This window comes from Homo sapiens, chromosome 8 (genome assembly GCF_000001405.40).
Source record: "Homo sapiens chromosome 8, GRCh38.p14 Primary Assembly".
In the NCBI taxonomy this organism is placed as follows: domain Eukaryota; kingdom Metazoa; phylum Chordata; class Mammalia; order Primates; family Hominidae; genus Homo; species Homo sapiens.
In genome coordinates, this window is record NC_000008.11 from 43,485,626 (window position 1) to 43,510,775 (window position 25,150).

The 25,150-nt window shown below is 36.1% G+C and overlaps 1 long non-coding RNA gene across 3 annotated transcripts; it reads left to right on the forward strand.

The window, feature by feature from the left end:
• Positions 1-1,104: 1,104 nt before the first annotated feature.
• Positions 1,105-25,150, forward strand: LOC105379397 (uncharacterized). 3 transcript variants are annotated; one of them, XR_949719.2, is made up of 4 exons: positions 1,105-1,202; positions 10,508-10,637; positions 17,963-18,259; positions 25,035-25,150. It is a non-coding gene; the product is annotated as an uncharacterized LOC105379397 (long non-coding RNA). The 3 variants fall into 3 exon arrangements; XR_949720.2 differs by lacking the exon at positions 25,035-25,150 and adding an exon at positions 23,885-24,224; XR_949721.2 differs by lacking the exon at positions 25,035-25,150 and adding an exon at positions 20,010-20,914.

A 25,150-nucleotide genomic window follows, 5' to 3' on the forward strand; every position in this document is an offset into this window, starting at 1 on the left:
GTGTGGCAATTCCTCAGGGATCTAGAACTAGAAATGCCATTTGACCCAGCCATCCCATTACTGAGCATATACCCAAAGGACTATAAATCATGCTGCTATAACGACACATGCACACGTATGTTTATTGAGGCACTATTCTCAATAGCAAAGACTTGGAACCAACCCAAATGTCCAACAATGATAGACTGGATTAAGAAACTGTGGCACGTATACACCATGGAATACTATGCAGCCATAAAAAATGGGGAGTTCATGTCCTTTTAGGGACACGGATGAAGCTGGAAACCATCATCCTCAGCAAACTATTGCAAGGACGAAAAACCAAACACCGCATGTTCTCACTCATAAGTGGGAATCGAACAATGAGAACACATGAACACAGGAAGGGGAACATCACACACCGGGGCCTGTTGTGGGGTGGGGGGAGGGGGAGGGATAGCATTAGGAGATATACCTAATGTTAAATGACGAATTACTGGGTGCAGCACACCAACATGGCACATGTATACATATGTAACTAACCTGCACGTTATGCACATGTACCCTAAAACTTAAAGTATAATAAAAAAAATTATCCACCAGGCGTGGTGGCTCATGCCTGTAATCCCAGCACTTTGGGAGGCTAAGGCAGGCGGATCATGAGGTCAGGAGTTTGAGACCAGCCTGTCCAATATGATGAAACCCCGTCTCTTCTAAAAATACAAAAATTAGTTGGGCATCATGGCAATTGCCTGTAATTCCAGCTATTCAGGAGCCTGAGTCAGGAGAATCACTTGAACCCAGGAGGCAGAGATTGTAGTGAACTGAGATTGTGCCACTGCACTCCAGCCTGGGTGACAGAATGACACTCTGTCTCAAAAAAAAATTGTTAAATTTTCGTAACAACCTATTGAAATAAGGCAGCAAAATCCTCACTTTGTAGAAGAAGACATTGAGCCTATGAGAAGTAGGTTCTCCAAGAACAAATAGCTGTTCATTATGGAGCTAGGCCTTATGCAGAGTTGGGACACTTTCTATTATGTCAAGCTAAGGCAAGTTAATTTACTGAGTCACAGTGCCCTCGATTTATGAGTATTTCACCTTTTTTTCTCTTTAATTAGAAGCTTATTGAGAAGCTTGTGGAATGTAGGCGTAAGTGTATTGGATAATTAAAGTTTTGATATTCTGATATTGTTGGAACTACTTGAAGAATTTAACATTTGGTAAGTATTTTTCATATGAGTATTAAAATAGTAATTTTACTTATTATATGTTTATACATAGAATTTGTCAATTACTTTCTGACTACAAAGACAAACAGATACAAAAAAGCCGTTCTCTCAACAGCAATCCAAGTAAGACTTCTGACAGTGAATTACTCTAGGTCAGTGGTTCCCACTCTTTTTGGCACCAGGGACCGGTTTTGTGGACGACAATTTTTCCATGGACTGGAGGAAGGAGGGGATGGTCTTGGGATGATTCCAGCACATTACATTTATTGTGCTACTTTATATTATTATATTGTAATATATAATGAAATAATGATACAACTCTCCATAATGTAGAGTTAGTGAGATCCCTGAACTTGTTTTCCTGTCACTGGATGTTCTCATCTGGAGGCAATGGGAGAAAGTGACAGATCATCAGGCATTGGATTCTCATAAGAAGCACACAACCTAGATCCCTAGCATGTACAGTTTATAGCAGGGTTCATGCTCCAATGAGTATCTAATTCTACCTCTGATCTGACAGGAGGTGGAGCTCAAGTGGGAATAGGAGAAATGGGGTGTGGCTGTATATACAGATAAAGCTTTGCTGGCTTACCTGCCACTCACCTCTTGCTGTGTGGCCTGGTTCCTAACAGGCCATGGGCTGGTACCAGTTTGTTGCCCAGGAGTTGTGGACCCCTGCGCTAGGTGGTCCTACCATAGATAAGAAAGTAAAAGTAAGGAAGTTTTTATCACAAAAAAAAAACAGTTTGAAAAATCACTGTGTATAAATTGCATGTATATATTTTACAATTTTTTTTGAGAGTAGGTTCGATTTCAGAATTATTTAAAAATTTCATTTTAGGTGATTTATAATTTCAAATATCTGAAAAATTTAATTATGGTCTCTAAAATCTTGTATAATATTTTTATGTAAATAAGAAAAACACAAGTTAGTACATGGTATATCTTTTTTACGGTCACATGATAACAAATTGGACTTGTTATACAATTGAATCTTCTATTTAATTATTTAAATAAATGGTTTGCTTTGAGCAAATGAATGTTAATTACAGTTGACCCTTGAACAGTGTAGGACTTAGGGGTACCAATCCTCCATGCAGCCAAAAATCTATGTATAACTTTTGACTTCCCTCATAACTTAACTACTAATAGCCTACTGTTGACCAGAAGCCTTATTGGTAACACAGTCAGTTAAGATGATATTTGGTGTGTTATAAGTATTGTATGTTGTATTTGTACAATAAACTGGAGAAAAGAAACTGTCGGGAAGAAAAAATATAATTAATATCAAGTGGAAGTGGATCATCATAAATGTCTTCATCCTTAATCTTCAAGTTGAATAGGCTGAAGAGGAGAAAGAGGGAGGTTGGGCTTGCTGTCTGAGGTGACAGAGGTAGAAGAAAATCTGCATATGAGTAGTAGACCCCTACAGTTCAAGCCTGTGTTGGTCAAAGGTTAGCTATATTACACTGAGGTTTGTGTCACTAAAAAAGTAACTATCTTTAAAAGTGGAAACTCAGCAATACCTTTCTAATACCATAAGCAAATGAGAATGAGAACTGCAAGACTTAGTCAGTGTGCAGCAACACCAATGAGAAATTATTTTTTTTAAAGATACCTACAGAAGTGTCCCTGTCTGACAGCTTTGAAGAGAGCAGTGGTTTTCCCAGCATGCAGCTGGAGATCTGAGAATGGGCAGACTGCCTCCTCAAGTGGGTACCTGACCCCTGACCCCTGAGCAGCCTAACTGGGAGGCACCCCCCAGCAGGGGCAGACTGACATCTCACACATCTGGCCAGGTACTCCAACAGACCTGCAGCTGAGGGTCTTGTGTGTTAGAAGGAAAACTAACGAACAGAAAGGACATCCACACCAAAAACCCATCTGTACATCACCATCATCAAAGACCAAAAGTAGATAAAACCACAAAGATGGGGAAAAAACAGAGCAGAAAAACTGGAAACTCTAAAAAGCAGAGTGCCTCTCCACCTCCAAAGGAACGCAGTTCCTCACCAGCAATGGAACAAATCTGGACGGAGAATGACTTTGACGAGCTGAGAGAAGAAAGCTTCAGATGATCAAATTACTCCAAGCTACGGGAGGACATTCAAATCAAAGGCAAAGAAGCTGAAAACTTTGAAAAAAATTTAGGAGAATGTATAACTAGAATAACCAATACAGAGAAGTGCTTAAAGGAGCTGATGGAGCTGAAAACCAAGGCTCGAGAACTACCTGAAGAATGCAGAAGCCTCAGGAGCCAATGCAATCAACTGGAAGAAAGGGTATCAGCGATGGAAGATGAAATGAATGAAATGAAGTGAGAAGGGAAGTTTAGAGAAAAAAACAATAAAAAGAAACGAGCAAAGCCTCCAAGAAATATGGGACTATGTCAAAAGACCAAATCTACATCTGATTGGTGTACCTGAAAGTGACGGAGAGAATGGAACCAAGTTGGAAAACACTCTGAAGAATATTATCCAGGAGAACTTCCCCAATCTAGCAAGGCAGGCCAACATTCACATTCAGGAAATACGGAGAATGCCGCAAAGATACTCCTTGAGAAGAGCAACTCCAAGACACATAATTGTCAGATTCACCAAAGTTGAAATGAAGGAAAAAATGTTAAAGGCAGCCAAGGAGATAGGTCGGGTTACCCACAAAGGGAAGCCCATCAGACTAACAGCGGATCTCTCAGCAGAAATTCTACAAGCCAGAAGAGAGTGGGGGCCAATATTCAACATTCTTAAAGAAAAGAATTTTCAATCCAGAATTTCATATCCAGCCAAACTAATCTTCATAAGTGAAGGAGAAATAAAATACTTTACAGACAAGCAAATGCTGAGAGATTTCGTCACCACCAGGCCTGTCCTAAAAGTGCTCTTGAAGGAAGCACTAAACATGGAAAGGAACAACCGGTACCAGCCACTGCAAAATCATGCCAAAATGTAAAGACCATCGATGCTAGGAAGAAACTGCATGAACTAATGAGCAAAATAACCAGCTAACATCATAATGGCAGGATCAAATTCACACATAACAATATTAACTTTAAATGTAAATGGACTAAATGCTCCAATTAAAAGACACAGACTGGCAAATTGGATAAGGAGTCAAGACCCATCAGTGTGCTGTATTCAGGAAACCCATCTCACGTGCAGAGACACATATAGGCTCAAAATAAAAGGATGGAGGAAGATCTATCAAGCAAATGGAAAACAAAAAAAGGCAGGGGTTGCAATCCTAGTCTCTGATAAAACAGACATTAAACCAACAATGATCAAAAGAGACAAAGAAGGCCATTACATAATGGTAAAGGGATCAATTCAACAAGAAGAGCTAACTATCCTAAATATATATGCACCCAATACTGGAGCACCCCAATTCATAAAGCAAGTTCTGAGTGACCTACAAAGAGACTTACACTCCCACACATTAATAATGGGAGACTTTAACACCCCACTGTCAACATTAGACAGATCATTGAGACAGAAAGTCAATAAGGATACCCAGGAATTGAACTCAGCTCTGCACCCAGTGGACCTAATAGACATCTACAGAACTCTCCACCCCAAATCAACAGAGTATACATTTTTTCAGCACCACACCACACCTATTCCAAAATTGACCACATACTTGGAAGTAAAACTCTCCTCAGCAAATGTAAAAGAACAGAAATTATAACAAACTGTCTCTCAGACCACAGTGCAATCAAACTAGAACTCAGGATTAAGAATCTCATTCAAAAACGCTCAACTACATGGAAACTGAACAACCTGCTCCTGAATGACTACTGGGTACATAACGAAATAAAGGCAGAAATAAAGATGTTCTTTGAAACCAACGAGAACAAAGACACAACATACCAGAATCTCTGGGACGCACTCAAAGCAGTGTGTAGAGGGAAATTTATAGCACTAAATGCCCACAAGGGAAAGCAGGAAAGATTGAAAATTGACACCCTAACATCACAATTAAAAGAACTAGAAAAGCAAGAGCAAACACATTCAAAAGCTAGCAGAAGGCAAGAAATAACTAAAATCAGAGCAGAACTGAAGGAAATAGAGACACAAAAAACTCTTCAAAAAATTAATGAATCCAGGAGCTGGTTTTTTGAAAGGATCAACAAAATTGATAGACCGCTAGCAAGACTAATAAGAAAAGAGAGAAGAATCAAATAGATGCAATAAAAAATGATAAAGGGGATATCACCACCGATCCCACAGAAATACAAACTACCATCAGAGAATACTACAAACACCTCTACGCAAATAAACTAGAAAATCTAGAAGAAATGGATAAATTCCTCGACACAGACACTCTCCCAAGACTAAAGCAGGAAGAAGTTGAATCTCTGAATAGACCAATAACAGGATCTGAAATTGTGGCAATAATCAATAGCTTACCAACCAAAAAGAGTCCAGGACCAGATGGATTCACAGCCAAATTCTACCAGAGGTACAAGGAGGAACTGGTACCATTCCTTCTGAAACTATTCCAATCAATAGAAAAAGAGGGAATCCTCCCTAACTCATTTTATGAGGCCAGCATCATCCTGATACCAAAGCCGGGTGGAGGCACAACCAAAAAAAGAATTTTAGACCAATATCCTTGATGAACATTGATGCAAAAATCCTCAATAAAATACTGGCAAACCAAATCCAGCAGCACATCAAAAAGCTTATCCACCATGATCAAGTGGGCTTCATCCTGGGATGCAAGGCTGGTTCAATATACACAAATGAATAAATGTAATCCAGCATATAAACAGAACCAAAGACAAAAACCACATGATTATCTCAATAGATGCAGAAAAGGCCTTAGACAAAATTCAACAACCTTCATGATAAGAACTGTCAATAAATTGGGTATTGATGGGACGTATCTCAAAATAATAAGAGCTATCTATGACAAACCCACAGCCAATATCATACTCAATAAATTAGGTAGTGATGGGACGTATTTCAAAATAATAAGAGCTGTCTATGACAAACCCACAGCCGATATCATACTGAATGGGCAAAAACTGGAAGCATTCCCTTTGAAAACTGGCACAAGACAGGGATGCCCTCTCTCACCACTCCTATTCAACATAGTGTTGGAAGTTCTGGCCAGGGCAATTAGGCAGGAGAAGGAAATAACGGGTATTCAATTAGGAAAAGAGGAAGTCAAATTGTCCCTGTTTACAGTTGACATGATTGTATATCTAGAAAACCCCATTGTCTCAGCTCAAAATCTCCTTAAGCTGATAAGCAACTTCAGCAAAGTCTCAGGATACAAAATCAATGTACAAAAATCACAAGCATTCTTATACACCAACAACAGACAGACAGAGAGCCAAATCATGAGTGAACTCCCATTCATAATTGCTTCAAAGAAAATAAAATACCTAGGAATCCAACTTACAAGGGATGTGAAGGACCTCTTCAAGGAGAACTACAAACCACTGCTCAATGAAATAAAAGAGGACACAAACAAATGGAAGAACATTCCATGCTCATGGGTAGGAAGAATCAATATCGTGAAAATGGTCATACTGCCCAAGGTAATTTACAGATTCAATGCCATCCCCATCAAGCTACCAATGACTTTCTTCACAGAATTGGAAAAAACTACTTTAAAGTTCATATGGAACCAAAAAAGAGCCCACATCACCAAGTCAATCCAAAGCCAAAAGAACAAAGCTGGAGGCATCACACTACCTGACTTCAAACTATACTACAAGGCTACAGTAACCAAAACAGAGATATAGACCAATGGAACAGAACAGAGCCCTCAGAAAGAATGCCGCATATCTACAACTATCTGATCTTTGACAAACCTGAGAAAAACAAGCAATGGGGAAATGATTCCCTATTTAATAAATGGTGCTGGGAAAACTGGCTAGCCATATGGAGAAAGCTGAAACTGGATCCCTTCCTTACACCTTATACAAAAATCAATTCAAGATGGATTAAAGACTTAAACGTTAGACCTAAAACCATAAATACCCTAGAAGAAAGCCTAGGCATTACCATTCAGGACATAGGCATGGGCAAGGACTTCATGTCTAAAACACCAAAAGCAATGGCAACAAAAGCCAAAATTGACAAATGGGATCTAATTAAACTAAAGAGCTTCTGCACAGCAAAAGAAACTACCATCAGAGTGGACAGGAAACCTACAAAATGGGAGAAAATTTTCACAATCTACTCCTCTGACAAAGGGCTAATATCCAGAATCTACAATGAACTCCAACAAATTTACAAGAAAGAAACAAAGAACCCCATCAAAAAGTGGGTAAAGGATATGAACAGACACTTCTCAAAAGAAGACATTTATGCAGCCAACAGACACATGAAAAAATGCTCATCGTTACTGTCCATCAGAGAAATACAAATCAAAACCACAATGTGATATCATCTCACACCAGTTAGAATGGCAATCATTAAAAAGTCAGGAAACAACAGGTGCTGGAGAGGATGTGGAGAAATAGGAACACTTTTACCCTGTTGGTGGGACTGTAAACTAGTTCAACCTTTGTGGAAGACAATGTGGCAATTCCTCAGGGATCTAGAACTAGAAATACCATTTGACCCAGCCATCCCATTACTGGGTATATACCCAAAGGAATATGAATCATGCTGCTATAAAGACACATACACTCATATGTTTATTGCAGCACTATTCACAATAGCAAAGACCTGGAACCAACCCAAATGTCCAATGATAGACTGGATTAAGAAAATGTGGCACATATATACCATGGAATACTATGCAGCCATAAAAAATGATGAGTTCATGTCCTTTGTAGGGACATGGATGAAATTCGAAATCATCATTCTCAGCAAACTTTCTCAAGAACAAAAAACCAAACACCGCATATTCTCACTCATAGGTGGGAATTGAACAATGAGAACACATGGACACAGGAAGGGGAACATCACACTCTGGGGACTGTTGTGGGGTGGGGGAAGGGGGGAGGGATAGCATTGGGAGATATACCTAATGCTAGATGATGAGTTAATGGGTGCAGCACACCAGTATGGCACATGTATACATATGTAACTAACCTGCACATTGTGCACATGTACCCTAAAACTTAAAGTATAATAATAATAAAAAAAACCAGCTAAAGGAAAAGAAATATTTTGAGAACACTGAAAATATGAAAAAAAGAATGATAATCTTCTAAAAGCTATAAAATTGAATGAGGAAACTTTAACAAAAGAGGTATTTCACTACAATGAACAGCTTAGCATTTTGACAACTGAGAATAAAATGCTTGGTTTTAAACTGGGGGATATAAAGCACCACAAGGAAAGACTGGAAACAGAAATTCAATCATATAATTGTAGACTGGCCACTGCTGTATATTTTTGTGACCAAAGTGAGAAAGCAAAAAGAGACCTCTTTCCAGAGAATAAGACACAAATAGGTTCATTTACAGGAGAAAATGAAGTTTGATATGCCTACCCTAAAAGGTAACAGTGAGGTTCTTTCTGAACAACTCTCTAATGCTGACAGTAAAATTAACAGCCTAAAAATTAAGCTCCATCACACAAGATAAACACTCGGAGAAAAGACTTCAGTTTTAGAACATTTCCAAAGAGATCTATGCCAAACACAGACAGTGTCAAAAGAAAGAAATTGAACAAATGTGTCAAAATGAACAAAGCAGAGTAAATAAATATACTGGAGTGCAGAAACCTATGAAGACAGATTTTCTCAACTACAAAGTGAAAATAATTTGCTTTGGCAGCAACTGGATGATGCTGACAAGAAAGCTGAGAGTCAAGAAAAGACAATCAGTACTATCCAAGAGCAATTCCATGCTGTTGTCAGAAATCTTCTAGCTGAGAGTATAAAGTCTTCTGCTGGAAGAGGAAAACGAGGAGATAATCAATGTACGTAATCCCTTGAAAGAAAGAATATATCAATGTGAAAAAGAGACAGTGGGAAAAAAGTAAGTATTAACAAAGATATTTTTCAAACTTCCTGAAAGAAAATTTAAAGTAATATTTGGTTATGGTAAATGTTATATGTATTTGAATATAAAAATATGTAGACCATAAAATATATTTGCTGTACGGCCTAGAAACATACCAGCAAAAAAAGGTAGACCTGAAATTTGCCTTATTTTGAACAACGAAATTGTATCACCTTTGAAATTTTAAGACTTTATTTTACAAATTTACTATATATAGACTAATAGTTCTAATGTGGACTTCTGCTGAAATAATTTTAATATCTCTCTGTGGACTAATTTTAAGACCATGATGAGACAGATAAACAGAAATGCCTTTTACCTGAAATGAATTTTTTGAAATTAAGATTCAATCATGTGGGTTACTTTGACAGTTATTTCCAGATTTCCCAGGTGAACTGAAATATACTGCTGTATCTCATAGTACTTTTTTAAGGTAGCTTTTTATGTATTTATGTTGGTGTAGTTTTATTTTTATTTTTACTGATTTGACTTAAATCTGAGACTTTAAGTCTCACATTATTGTTATGACCTCTCAATTATTTGAAGGCATTTACTTTTTATAAAATCATTATTTGGAACAGATGTGAATTTCCAGCAAAACCATATTTGATTTAGTCGTACCTCTGGTGTTTATAATTTTAATGTTCTTAAAAGTAATTTGCTCATGATTTTTATCTTATGGCTCAATGACTGTCATTTGGCTATAACCTTGTCCAGTACAAAGATAATTGTGTTTGTCTGCAGTTGCTTTGTTTAGCATTGGGTTTTCATTTTAAAGCTAATGAGGGATGGCAGAATTCACATACAGTTGGAATGGAATGAGTAGGGGAGAGAGTTATAGGAACTGAGGTAAGGGAGGGAGGTGGAGGCCAGGTTACCTAGGGCCTCCAAATGTCATTGGAATTTTACTTTTATTCTGAGGTAGAAATCTATTAGAAGGATCTGAGCAGGCAATTGAATATGTGAGGAGTGGGGAGGTTTATTTGAGGTTCTGATAAAAAAGAGGAAAGACATTTTACACTCCAGCATTTTCCACCACTAGTGCCACCCACATACCGAATTTTTGGGACTTCAGTAGGTTGTTAAGCATTGTAAATGTATCAGGGGTTAATGAATAGTGGGCTGATTCTGTCATCTAGCAGAATACTCATTTGGAAGGAATATAACACCTGTGTCCTTAACTGAATTCAGTAATAAGAATGTATACACATGAGGAAAAGAAGGTGAATCCATGTATGTGGTGCTATTTTTCAAAGTATATGTTGAATGTTATGATCATGTTTTAATAATAAGGTGATATATGAAATCAGTAACAAAAATATCTTAACAGGTAATTATGAGACAACTTCTACAAGAACCGGCTGATACCCTGAAAAAAAACCTGTCAGAGCCTTCCCTAGAGGCTACACCACATTGTCACATTAATTTAGAAGAGACACAAGATTCAAAGAAGGAATTAGGTAAAATCAGAGTCAAGTATGTATGAAATGTAACATGTCAACAGTTAATCTGTAGGTGGTGGAGGAATATATAGTTTTAGGATGCTAATTGCAGTGGATAGATTTCTTTTGTATTTTCATTACAATTAATTTTATTATCTTTATCATGCACTTATTTCTTCTGACTTTTCAGTCTGTCATGTTTTTCTCATAAGTATGTACATTTTAAAGATAATATTTACCCTTAAGAAAGCTGGGAATTATACATCATTCCTCACAGAAGTTGAGAGACTTTTTTTTGTGTGTGAAACAGTATTTTTCAGGGATTTCTCTGTTGCCATGTTGAGGCAAGCCAGATTACATCAGAGGATAATGTTCAATAGAATGTTCCAGAAAAGCATCTTATTGCTTATCTTACTTTCTTGGATGGGTGCAGAATCTTTGTATATTTATTGCATGAATTTTAGGATAACTTGTACAGAAAGGCCATTATACTTTTCTCCAAAATGCAGATGTTTTAGGTTAATTTACAAAGTACTTGAAATGTTAAGCATTCCCTTCTTTTTTCTTTCATTTTAAGTATATTGTAAAAGCATGGAAATGCTCAGTTTGTGTAGAGTATATACATCCAAATTAGAGGATTAAGAAACGTATCTAGATCCTACCATTGGGATTTTAAAAGACAATTGTAGTGATGTATAATTTGAACACCATACAGTTCACATGGTCTCTTAGTATATTCACAGAGTTGTATAGCCATCACCATCACCAATTTTAGAATATTTTCATGATCCTAAAAAGAAACAGTGCATCATTTTGCTATTATCCACCAGTTTGCCCTTCCTCAGCTCTAGGGAACCACCAGCCTACTTTGTCTTTATAGAGTTGCCTATTCTGGACATTTCATATCAGTTGAACCACACAATATGTGGTGGTCTTTTGTGATTGGGTTCTTTCACATAGGATAAGGTTTTAAGGCTCATCTGTGTTGTAACATATATCAGTACTCAATTCCCTCTTATTGCTGAGTAATATTCCACTGTGTGGATATATCAGTCATTTTATTTACTCATTCCTCAGTTGTGGACCTTTGAATTGTTTCCATTCTTTGGCTATTAATCATGTCTGCTTTTATGTACAAGTTTTTGTGTTTTCATTTCTCTTGGGTGTATGCATACAAGTGGAATTGCTGGGTCATATTGTAACTCTATATGTAACATTTTGAGGAGCTGCCAGTCTGTTTTCCAGAGTGGCTGTATCATTTTACATTCCTATCAGAATTGTGTAAGGGTTCCAACTTCTCTATTTCTTTGCCAACATTTTTCACATTTTTGATTAAGAAAAGATTTCCTCTTAGTGGTGTGAAATGATACCTCATTCTGGTTCGATTTGCATTTCCATAATTCCCTATGATACCTCATTTTGGTTCGATTTGCATTTCCCTAATGACTAATTACTTTAATCATCTTTTTACGTGCTTCGGAGTGACTTGTGTATCTTCTTTGGAGAAATGTCTATTAAAATGCAGCCTATTTTTAAAAGTGGTTGCCTTTTTGTTTGTGAATCCATAAGATCCTTAACAGATATGATTCTCAAGTATTTTCTTTCACTCAATAGGCTTTTTTAAAACTTTCTTGATGATGTCTGTTCACGTGCAGACATTTCAAATTTTGATAGTCATTAATCTTTTTTTGCAGTCACAAAGATTTATGTCTATGCTTTCTTCTAAAAATTTTATAGTTTTAGCTCTTATATTTAGTGATTCTATTTTGAGTTAATTTTAGATACAGCATATGCCAGGAGTCTATTTTTATTCTTTTGCATGTAGATACCTAGTTTTCCCAGCACCATTTGTGGAAAAGACTATTCTTTTAAATAAATTAATATTCTTTTTTAAGTGTTGTTCTTTTTGGCACCCTTGTTGAAAATCAATTGACCATAAATGTGAGTTTATTTTTGGATTCTCAATTCTAATATGTTGATTTATGTCTACTGTTATGCCATTACCAAAGCAAATTTTAGAATTGTTTTCCAATCGTGTTACTTATTATTACCAATTGCCTAAAGTAAGAATAGAAATTCAAGTACTAGGTAGCCTTTAACTTCACTGTTTGCTTCTTGAAGGAACATGTGGTCAGCTTATATTATGGTAACTTCATGCTTAACCTTTTGAGGAGCTGCCAGTTTGTTTTCCAAAGTGGCTGCACCACTTTACATTTCCAGCAGCATTGTATAAGGGCTTTAATTTCTTTACATTTTTGCTAATATTTATATTTTCCTAATGACTAATTACATTAAGCATCGATTAATGTGCTTATATCCATCTTTTCTTCTTTGCAAAATTTCTATTCAAAATCTTTGCCCATTTTTAATTGGGTCATCTTTTTATTTATGAATTGAAAGGGTTCTTTATATATCCTAGATATAAGTCCCTTATCAGATATATGCTTTCCAAATATTTTCTTCTACTCGTTGACTTGACTTTTCACTTTCTTGACTGTTTTCTCACACACAGAATTTTTCAGTTTTGAAGTCCATTGAATCCATTTTTCCTTTGGAGTCAGAGCTAAGAAAACACTGCCAAATGTAGTTACAAAGACTTATGCCAATGTTTTCTTCTGAAAGTTTTAGAGTTTTAGCTGTTACAGTTAGCTGTTTTATTTTGAGTTAATTATTAAATATGGTATTTAGTGAGAGTCCAACTTTATTATGTTTTTGCATATGGATACCCAGTTGTCCCAGCACCATTTGTCTAAAAGACTATTCTTTTCCCATTTCATTGTTTTGTTAACCCTGTAAAAAATCAATTGACTGAATACGCAGGTTTATTTTTTAATGATCAGTTCTTTGTTTATGTCTATTCTTATGCCAGGGCCAAATTGAATTTAATAAGTTTTTTTCAATCATGTTGCATATTACCAGTTGTCTTATGTCATAATAAATATTAAATATAGTGGAACATCTTTAACTTCACCTTCTGCATCTCCAGAGAGTCTGTGGTCAGCTTATACTTTACTTATCCTAAGACATGATGAGAAGTCAGGCTTACAAGACACAATTCATTTCTTTTTTTTTCCTCCATTCAAGCCTTTAGTGTCTTATCCAGTGCCTCCCTCTATAGTTTCATTTTCAGTAAATTTTGGTCGCAGGATCCGCTGACATAGCCTACTATTTAGTGCATTATGTCTTATTAACTCATTATAATTCATAGAATCATCCATAGATGCTTACCATCTAGAAAGGAGAAGTTTAAGTCTGAGCTGCCAGCTTTCCTCAGTGGAAGTCAAGTGAAGTTATCATCTTTCAATTCGCAGATCCTTTTTCCACCTGGTAGCTGGTTCTCTTGTGTAGCACTGTGGCTGATCCTTTTCTTGGTGCAGATCCTGCATTCTCAGAAACCACAGTTCCCTGTATTGACCTCGTTTTACTGAAACAGAGATGCACAGCTGTGCTTTGTAGCTTAGTAGAAGATTCTTGGAGTAAAAAGTTTAACTCATTGCAAGAAAAATATTTAGGAGTGCAGCGCTTAAAAATCTGGTAATGTTCAGGAAATTTATCAGTAGTAGATTAGTAATTTGAATTTTAAAATTTCAGAGTCAACTTGTGTGCTATAGAGAAGCGTTGTGGTATAACATAGAGATGGGATGGTCTTAACTTCTCCATACAAACAAGCTTGAAGTAAGGATGAAGGAGAAATCGCATTTGATTTCTTAACACTCAAGGCACACTACATTTATTTTACTTCTGTGAAGATTAAAAATAATTCCATCGTGTTCTCCTTGTTTCCCCACTGAGTAAAGGAAAATGAAAATGGAATACTAGATTGATTAATAAATACTCAAAGCTGCTTACTTTTAGAATTTTTAGTTAATTGAAATCAGGTAAACTGTCTGATTTTGGTTATTTAACCAAGTAGTTCTAGTTGTTTTTAAAAATCACGTCTTCTTGCTTTCCAGTCTTATTTCCTAACTTGAGGGGAAATTCTAAGGAGACACCCTTGCCTTGTCATCAGAGTTCATAATTGAAGGGAGTTTTAGGAAAAGTTCATCCTCAGGAACTTATGTCTCTCTCCCAGTTATCTGCTGCTTCTCAATAATGCTTGTCATCAATAAATTAATCTCAACATTTATTTGATTCTACTTTAAAAGAGACTCTTTTCTGCTGTGTAAGTTATGTTTCCTGTTGTCTCTTTTTTAAAATCATTTTTTTCTAACAATTACCCAGAGTTTAGTGGCGTAAAAGAGAAACATTTAAGGCTGGGCACGGTGGCTCATGCTTGTAATCCCAGCACTTTGTGAGGCAGAGGTGGGTGGATCATGAGGTCAGGAGTTCAAGACCAGCCTGGCCAAGATGGTGAAACCCCGTCTCTAATAAAAATACTAAAAAAAGAACAACATTTATTTTGCTCATGAATCTGTGGCTTGGAAAAAGCTTGGCCAGGACAGCTTGTCTCTGCTTCCCTCAGCTTCCCTAGGAACAGCTGAATGACTGGGGAAATGGAATCATCAGATGCTTTGTTCAACCATGTGTTTGATGGTTAATGCTGGCCATTGGCTGGAACCTTGGTTTGGGCAGGCAGCATGAACACTGACACTGGCACTCCCAGGCTCTCTTTGTGGCCTGAGCTCTCTCTTAGTCTGGGGGCTGGGTTTGAAGGGAAAGCAGTTGGAGATAGAGAAGCCACATGGAATCCCTTATTACTGCATTCTTTTCATTAGAAGGAAGTCAGTAAGGTTGGCCCGTATTCTATTTTTTTAGTGGGATGAATTTATCTTCTCTTTTGTTTTTAATTGACATGTATATACAAAATTATGAGTTATAAAGTTATATTTTGATACATGTATATAGTGTGTATTGATCAAGGTATTACTAGCATATTTATTACCTCAATCATTTTTCAAAAAGTCTTCCAGCTTTTTGAAAATATACAATAAATCATAGTTAAGCATATTCACCCTACAATGCTACAGGACGCCAGAACTCATTCCTTTTTTATAACTGTAATTCTGTATCTATTAACCAGCCTCCCCTCCCTTACTTCCTTGAGTTTTTTGTTGTTGTTAAGAGACAGGGTCTTGCTAGTCTAGTCTGGGCCCTGGGCAACTGCAGTCACTCAGACTAGAGACAATGATTTGATCATAGCTCACTGCAGCCTCAAACTCTTGGGCTCATATGATCACCCCACCTTAGCCTCCTGAGCAGCCAGGATTACGGGTGTGCACCACTGCACCTGTCTGATTTTTTACTTTGTAGACATGAGGTCTCATGATGTTGCCCAGGCTGGTCTGGAACTTTTGGCCTCAAGCAGTTCTCCTGCCTTGGTCTTTTAAAGTGCTAGGAAATTGCAGGCATGAGCCATGTTGTCCAGCCTTCAATTTTTCTTTAGCTCCCACACATGAGTGAGAATGTGCAGTATTTTTCTTTCTGTGCCTGCACTTAACATTCTCCAGACTCATCCACGTGGCAACAAATAACAAGATTTCATTCCTCTATATGTGGAATACTATTCCATTTTGTATGTATACTACATTTTTTGTCCATTTGTTGATGGACATATAGGTTGATTCCATACATTAGCTGTTGTAAATAGTGCTACAATAAATGTACGAGTACAGTTATCCTTTTGATCTTTTGTTTTCGATTGGCTGAATACTCAGTAGTGGGTTTGCTGGATCCCTCAGCAGTTCCAATACTAGTTTTTTGAGAAATCCTCATGTTGTTTTCTGTAGTGGCTGCACTAATTTACCTTCCTATCACCAGCATATAAGAGTTTACTGTTCTCTGAAACCTTACCTGCATTTGTTATTTTTTGTCTTTTCAATGATAGTCATTTATTTGAACTGGAGTGAGATTATACCTCGTTGTAGGTTTGATTTGTGTTTCCCTGATGATTAGTGATACTGAGCATTTTTAAATGTATTTATTTGCCATGTGTATTTCTTTTTTTGAAAAAGAAATGTGTATTCAGATCTTTTGCCTTATTTTGAATTCAGATTTTTTTTAATGTCAAGTGTTTGCGTTCTTGTATATTTTGGATATTAGTCCTTTATTAGATGAATAGTTTGAAAGTATTTTCTCCCATTCTACAGGTTTTCTGTTTACTCAGTTGTTTTCTGGGCAAAAGCTCTTTAGCTTAATGTGGTACCATTTGTCTATCATTTGTTTTTTGCCTATGCTTCTGATGTCTTATCCATAAAAATCTTTGTGCAGACTAATGTCCTGAAGCATTTTTCCTATATTTACTGCTAGTAGTTTGATAATTTTGGGCCTGACATTTAAGTCTTCAATTCATTCTGAGTTTATTTTGGTATTGGTGTTAGATAGGAATCTATTATCATTGTTCTCCATATGTATATTCAGTTTTCCCAGTGGCATTCATTTGAAGAGGGTGTCCTTTCCCCAATGTATGTTCTTGGCATCTTAGTCCAAAATCAGCTGGCTGTAAATATGTGGATTTATTTCTGGGTGGCATGTGCCATAGACTTTACCCCAAGAATCATTACTTCTTAAAATGCAATTCAAATTAGCATAAAACATTTGCATTTTAGGGAAAGGCTTATGACATTAGAATCCTTATTTACAGGATTCATTATTTTGTCTCTTTTTTTTGAGATATGGTCTTTGTCTGTTATCCAGGCAGAAGTGCAGTGGTGTGGTCATAATTCACTGCAGCCCTGAACTCTGTGTCCAAGCCACCCTTTTGCCTCATTCTCCCAATGAGCTGGATGTACAAGGCATGAATAATTAAAAATAATTTTTTTTTGTAGAGATGTGGAGTCTCACTGTGTTTCTGTGGCTGCTCTCAAATTCCTGGCCTCAAGTGATCTTTCTGCCACAGACTCCTAAACTGCTAGGATTACAGGCATGAGCCACCATGCCTAGCATAGAGTGTTATATTATTTTCAGTGTCTTATTCTGAGAGCCATTTTTTGACTTTGGCCTAAATATCTTAATATGATATCTCTGAAACTTTTTTTGACAAATTATGGGGAATGATGATGAGGGAAGAGGTTTATAAACTTTCTCCTAAGAGATAACTTAGAGCCATTTAAGGAGGAACAAAAAGAAACAATCAGAATAATAAAAGATCAAGTGCAAAATTTCTGCATCAAAGATGATGATAGTAAAGAATATATTTTTGTGACTCATGGTGGTCTAATTTTGTTCTTGAATTTCTGAGTAATTTAAGGGTTAACATTTGAGGAATCTGCTACATTACAGGTAATATTTTATTCCAAGTAAATGTATTTCAAAAATTTTATTGGTTTATTATTAAACCAAAATTTTTATTGGTTTTATTATTCTCAGCTACTGCATTATCAAGCTGTATTATTTCATTCATGCAGTTTGATGATCTCACAGCAGAATTGGAAGCTGTATCTTTACAATGTGTCTATTTGGCTGAAAACAATCAAGTTACTCAACAGGAGTTATCTATGAAAAAAGTACAACAGGAATGTGAAAAACTTGAGGAAAATAAAAAGATGTTGGAAGAAGGAATAGTAAATCTTATGACACATATGGAAAAATATGGTAGAACTTGGTAAAGTACAAGAATATAAATTGGAGCTAGAAGAAAAAGCAATGCCAGCAATAGAAAAAAAATAGAAGAAATCCATTAACACGTTAGTTTTTAAAGTCAGGTAAGTTTATCTGTAATGTGCTTTCATTTATTTCACTGCAAATTACATTTTAGATATTATATGTATTGTGTTTACTCTGCCTCTCATAGCAATTTGTAGAGTTCTAGAAACAGGTGGCATCTGTGTTTTTCTTTTAAATATTTAAATTTCCATCATTATTATAACAAAATTGATCTTTCAGAGTAATGATTCTCACTATAGACTCACTTGATTGTTAAGACCTGTAGGCATAAGACTATTAGGAAAAGAGAAGATTGTGATTTAGAAATTAAATGATACTTTTGAATTGGTCTTAAGCTACATTGTTCATTGTTCAGTTTTTAAAATTATAAATGGATTCTATTACTTTTTAAATGACCAGATTGCATTAATACTAACACTACTAAACATACACTCATAGAAAATGGAATAAGCTTATTAATTTGTTTTGAAAGCATAATCTAGTGAGATGCCTTCAGGAGATTAGTAGAAAGTGAATGCTAACTTGACAATATAATTTTGGAAAATAATGTCAGTAAATAATCTTACCTTTAAAACGTTAGTCAGGGAGAGGTTCGGTGTCTCCTTCCTCTCTCTCTCTCTCTCTCTTTTGTATGGCTTTTTTTTCCTGAAAAAATCTCATGTAGTTAACTTGATCTATTAGTTTTTTTCACTAAGTATTTTTGAATCGTTATAATTAATAAAGTGATCTTGTTATAAAATTACTTGTCAGAATTACCCTAAGTAGAAATATTAATGAGTTTAATTTACTTTTTGGTACATCACAACCTAAACCCAAAGTGTCAAGTACTACTGCTGCTCTGGGTATATCCTGGCCCTCAGGCATGGAACTGTCCTTGATTGTGATCTTTAGTATTATCACTATAGGGCACCTTAAGAAAGACTATTCTGTGTAACATTTTCAAACTACAGAAAGGCGTTCTTGTGAAATAGGGAATAATTATTACAGGAATGAAAGGAAGTGTGATTCACTAAGTGGTTTCAAAATAACACCTTGTTCAGCCTGAAGGGGTGTGTGGAAGACAGAAAGAAAAAACCCCATCTCCAGTGCCTTGGTCACAATGTTAGGGGCTAATTGTCTTCAGAGATGCTTTAGTTCTTTTTGATCACCAACCAAGCCATCTACTTCTCTACTATGAGTTGTTGCTCAGAATTATTCATCATTGCCAAATGCTTAATTGTTCCTAGATAATGGGTGAAATGTACAAGGGTGAAACCTGAAACTGGTTTACTAAGCACAAGTATTTCTAGCGGTTTTTTTTTTTGGTTCATTTTAGATTTCTTAAATGTATATTATTTAAGGAGTACAACAAGCCGTTTTGATATAACTATTTATAGTGAATTGGTTCTTATAGTCAAACAACTTAACATATTCATTTTGTCACATAGTTACCCTTTAAATACAAGTATTTCTAATAGAATCTTCCAAATCTTACAAGTAGAGTCATTTTAGAAAGCAGCAAGTGTTACCTGTTCAGCCCCACATTACTGATAGCCATTTCTCTTCCCTCTCTACTTTGTTTGAATTGCTTATTCAGTAGAAATCACCCTAGAAACACATGTACTTCTTTTGAACGACTTTAAAATTATAATTGGTTACAACAGATATGCTCTCACACATCTTCGGTGAGAAAACACTTTAGTGGGTAATTTGGTTTACTCTCTCAGCAACTTTTAAAAAAGTGGAAGTCATTAAGACTCACTTAAGGAAAAATGAAATACTAAGCATTTGTCTTTGCTATCTTCACAGATCAAATAAGAAAACAAGTGATCAGCACCAAGCTCCATATGGAGAAAGAGTGGATGAAAGCTTTTCTCAGTGCTCTTTCTATGAGGCCAGGCTCAGAGCCACCTTGTGTTGAAAATCTTAATAGTATAGGACTCAACAGAAAATGTATTCCCAAAACACCTGTAAGAATTCCTACTTCAAGCCCACAGACTTCAAATTACCTTTTCTATTTTGGGTTTTATTTCACTAATAATATTCTTGTTTTTAATTTGGTGAAATACTGAGTTGTTCAGTTGACCTATGCATGTTAAGTAAAGATTATAGTTAGCCATATTAACACAGAAAGGAAATGGGAACTTTACTTTTTTTTAAATTCCCCAGAGCTCTAATTTTCAAGAGACACCCATTTGCTAACTTTATTCAGTAAATGTAAATAAACTGACACATTTCAACTTTCTTTAAAGGCTGCACTTAAGTTAGATTTTAGAAATTGCATGTTATTGCCTAATAACTGAAGGTATATTTTGAGATGCTTTGGCTTACGCTCTAATTGATTGTAGTTTGGCTGTGGTTCATGCCACTTTTAAGGTTTCTTTGTACCATCTCAACTCTTCCCACCCATACTCACAAAGGAATGATTGGCATCCAAACACTTAATCACACATGGGTATTTACTATTTAATAGAATCCAAAATAAGTGCATTTTATGAATTAAATAAACATAAAATACTAAAAGATTCATTTCCATTTTTATTTTAAAAGCCTTGTGCTCTTCTTACATAAGAGTACATCCTCTGACTATAAAAATCCTGGAAGTAAACCTAGGAAATATTCTTCTGGCCATAGTGGTTGGCAATGAATATATGGCTAAGTCCTGAAAAGCAATTGCAAGGATAACAAAAATTGACAAGTGTGATCAAATTAAACTAAAGAGCTTCTACACAGCAAAAGAAACTATCAAGGGATTGAACAGACAGCCTACAGAATGGAAGAAAATATTCACAAACTATGCATACAGCAAAGGCCTATTATCCAGAATCCATAAGGGACCTAAACAAATATACAAACAAAAAATAACTCCATTAAAAAATGAGCAAAGGACATGAACAGACACTTTTCAAAAGAACACATATAAGTAGCCAACAAACATATTAACAATTGCTTATCACTAATCATCAGAGAAATGCAAAACAAAACAACAAGATACCATCTCACACCAATCAGAATGAATATTGTTAAAAAGTAAAAAAAAACTGGTGTTGGGAGGATTGGAGAAAAGGGAACAATTACACACTGTTGGTGGCAATAAAAAATTAGTTCAGCTGCTATGGAGAGCAGTTTGGAAATTAAGAACTAAGAATGATCATTGGATGCAGCAACCCCATTTCTATGCTGGGGGTATACCTAAAGGAAAAGAAATCATCGTAACAAAAAGATGCATGCACATGTATGTTCCTTGCAGTACTATTCACAATAGCAAAGACATGGAGTCAACCAAGGTGCATCCAAGGTAGACTGAAAATCCAAAGTAGATTGGAAAATTTCACATACACCATGGATTACTATGCAGCCATAGAAACAACAAAATCATGTCCAACATGGATACAACTGGAATCCATTATCCTAAGCAAACTATCATAGAAACAGAAAACCAAATATCTCATGTTCTTACTCATAATGTGGGAGATAGGCATTGGGTTCACACTGTCATAAACATGGGAATAGTAGACACTGGGAAATAAGAACGGGGAGGGACAGAGTAGGCCAGGGTTGAAAAACTACTTATTGGATCCTATGCTCACTACATGGGTGACGGGTTCAGTTGGACCCCAAACCTCAGCATTCCTCAATATACCTTTGGAAGAAACCTACACAGGTACCACCTTGATTTAGAATACAATCTAGAAAAAATTTACTATAAAAAAGGTTACTGTAAGTGGAGAATAGAAATTTCTTTTTAAGGAAAAGTTTACTGAAGTAAAAAATGGATTGAACTTTTATAAAGGGCAGAATTTTGCTAAGAGTTTTGAAGCAATGTATTCATTGCAAAACATGACTTTAATTGTTTAACCTTTGTACTAATAAAACACCACCTTTTTAAAATTATTTATATACAATAGACCAATATTAATTTTATTGTTATCAGATAAATCTAAACAGCATTACACAGATATATCCTCTATTATCTAAACTTAAAATAAGTAGAAATTTTATTTTATTTATGTGATTATTTTTCTATTTAAACAAGTGTTCAAGTTATGTGTAGTCACTAAATATACTAAAGGCCACATTTTGTAAGTGATATATTATTCTCACGATAATGTCTCTTGTTTAACTTAAACATTATTATTATTTTTACTTGAGATGGAGTTGGACTGTGTAGAACAAATAATTAGAGAAACAAAGAAAAGTATGTTGCCAAAATTTATTAATTAAATTTAGACTTATTTTAGAAATAAACTGTATATAGCAAATGGCATTCCTTTTCATTGTTGGGTTAGTAGATACTATGTTATTCTTTTCTTACATACATCTAATGACAGATGTGAAAACAAAAACTTTCACAATGAAGAGTATACTTATGCACCATTAATTCATCATGTTCCATAGCTTAAAAAATTCCCAAGAAGTCTATGCATCCCTTTTTTACTGGCTCTACACTTTATTCACTTTTGTCATTCTCATGGAACTGTCAGCCAGCACACTCAAACAATTCTCAGCAAACAAAGGCATCATCAGGTTCTCAGGGTTCCGGTAGAGACTTAAGACCAACAGACCTCATGCTCATTTAGAAATACTCAGCTGAGCCATAACCATTCATAAGCAGTCACTTGACAGGTGACATTTTAAATTTTCTGTCATTTACTTTGTCATTGGCTTACTTTTGTTCTCAGGAAAAGTTCTAAATTTTTCACCATGGAATAAAAACACCTACATCAATGTGATTCTTGTCAAGTTACTCAGCCTTGTCTCTAGCCACTTACCACACTCTGCCCTTTGCTCTAGCACCAAACTGGATGGAGTGGAACTCCACAGGGTTCTTCCTCACCTCAGGCTCTTTGCCTTCATCTCTTCCCTCTATCTGGCAATCTTTTCCTCGTCCTTCAGGCATCAACCTACCTATCTTCTCCACCAGAAAGCCTATGATATTGACACAAAACTGGGATAGATGACTCTTCTGTGTGTTCCAGTAGTACCCTGCTATATACCTGTCATGGCATCTATGACTCTATGTGGACATTGCCTGCCTGTCTGTTTTTTCAGATTACAGCATATGATTGTTGAGAGGTGGACCATACTATCTTCATCTTGTAATTCCAGTGCTGGTTCTAGTACCTTAGCACATGGCTGTTGAGTATGTGAATGAAGAATAAAAAGCTCTCATATTTAACCACAATTGTAATTAATTCCATGTGTAAATACGAGCAAATTCTATTTAATAGTAATTTTGTATTATAATTGTACATACATATTTCTCATTCTTATTAACCCTGATAAAGTTCTGAACTCTTTATTTATTTATTTATTTATTTTGAGATGGAGTTTTGCTCTTTTTGTCTAGGCTAGAGTGCAATGGTATGATCTCAGTTCACCGCAACCTCCTCCTCCCAGGTTCAAATGATTCTCCTGCCTAAGCCCTACGAGTAGCTGGGATTACAGGAATGTGCCACCATGCCTGGCTAATTTTGTATTTTTAGTAGAGATGGGGTTTCTGCATGTTGGTCAGACTGGTTTCGAACTCCTAACCTCAGGTGATCTGCCCACCTCAGCCTCCCCAAGTGTGGGGATTACAGGTGTGAGTGACTGCACCTGGCCAACTCTTTAGTTTTTAAACTTACACATAGTTAACTGAAATGTTTTAGGTAAAGAACATAATTCTTTATTTTTCTTTCCAGCTTTTGCTGTGTTGGACATTTTCTCCCATCTGGTTTCTTCTTTAGAATCCACTGATGAGCAACAACTAATGAAGAGAATATCTAAACCATAAAATCTTAAGGAAAAAGTTTATGATTTAAAAGACCTAAAACATCTTAAAACTTTATTACTGATCTGTGTACATGACATTTTAATTGTTTCTCATAAAATATGTAACATCATGATCTTCACTAAAGTAGAATATGTTTGTATCATATGTGTGATGAAAATGTATATGGTATTTTAAATGATTTTTTAGCCTCTTTAAGTTTTAAGTTGATCTTGTAAATGAAAACCAGTATTGTTGAGTTTGACATACTCAAATTGCCCAGATTTCAGCTGTTTAAACAGCCAAACAATCAAGTCATCATTGATACTTCAGTAGAGGTCATTGATGGCTTATTGGCATTTTATAGCTTTTACTACTATATATAATAGGAGACTTGAGGAGTACCAGCCTGGTATGTTCGTGCTAATGTTACTATTTCCTTTTTTTCTTTTTTTGAGATGAAGTTTTGCTCTTGTCACCCAGGCTGGAGTGTAATGGCGTGATCTCGGTCACTGCAACCTCTGCCTCCTGAGTTCAAGTGACTCTCCTGCCTTAGCCTCCCGAGTAGCTGAGGTTACAAGCACCTGCCACCACACCCAGCTAATTTTTTTTTTTTATTTTTAGTAGAGACGGGGTTTCATCATATTGGCCAGGCTGGTGTCGAACTGACTTCATGTGATCCACCCACCTCAGCCTCCCAGAGTGTTACTATTTCCTTTTTGTAGTTCAACAGTATTTTGTGTGGAGATATTTTGAGGCTCTGTAAATATCTGGTTGCTCCTCAAAACCCACTAGATTTAGCATTTCATGGATGACTTGTGTTTGAGCAATTATTACCGTAATGATTGCCAAATGATTACTTTCTTATTCTCTCCTTTGTTCTACATGGAGAAATAAAACCAATACATAACCGAGAAGGGAAAGCTCGTGATTCTGGTCCTCAAATGCCCCAAGATTAGGCCAGTGGTAGACATTTCAAGCTCCCTTCATCTCTTTTTTATTTGTCCCCATTAGTCTGTCAGCACTTTTTTACTTTCTGGCACAAGATGCTCCAAGCTTATCTTGTATTTTCTCTGCCCCAGCCCTGGAATGAGTGATTGTTCTTAGAAGCAGAGGTGGAGCCACCGAGGAAGCACAGGATGAGCATTCCGCAGCTTGCACTTACTGGTCCCCAGTAGGAAGAACCACTGCTGCATCC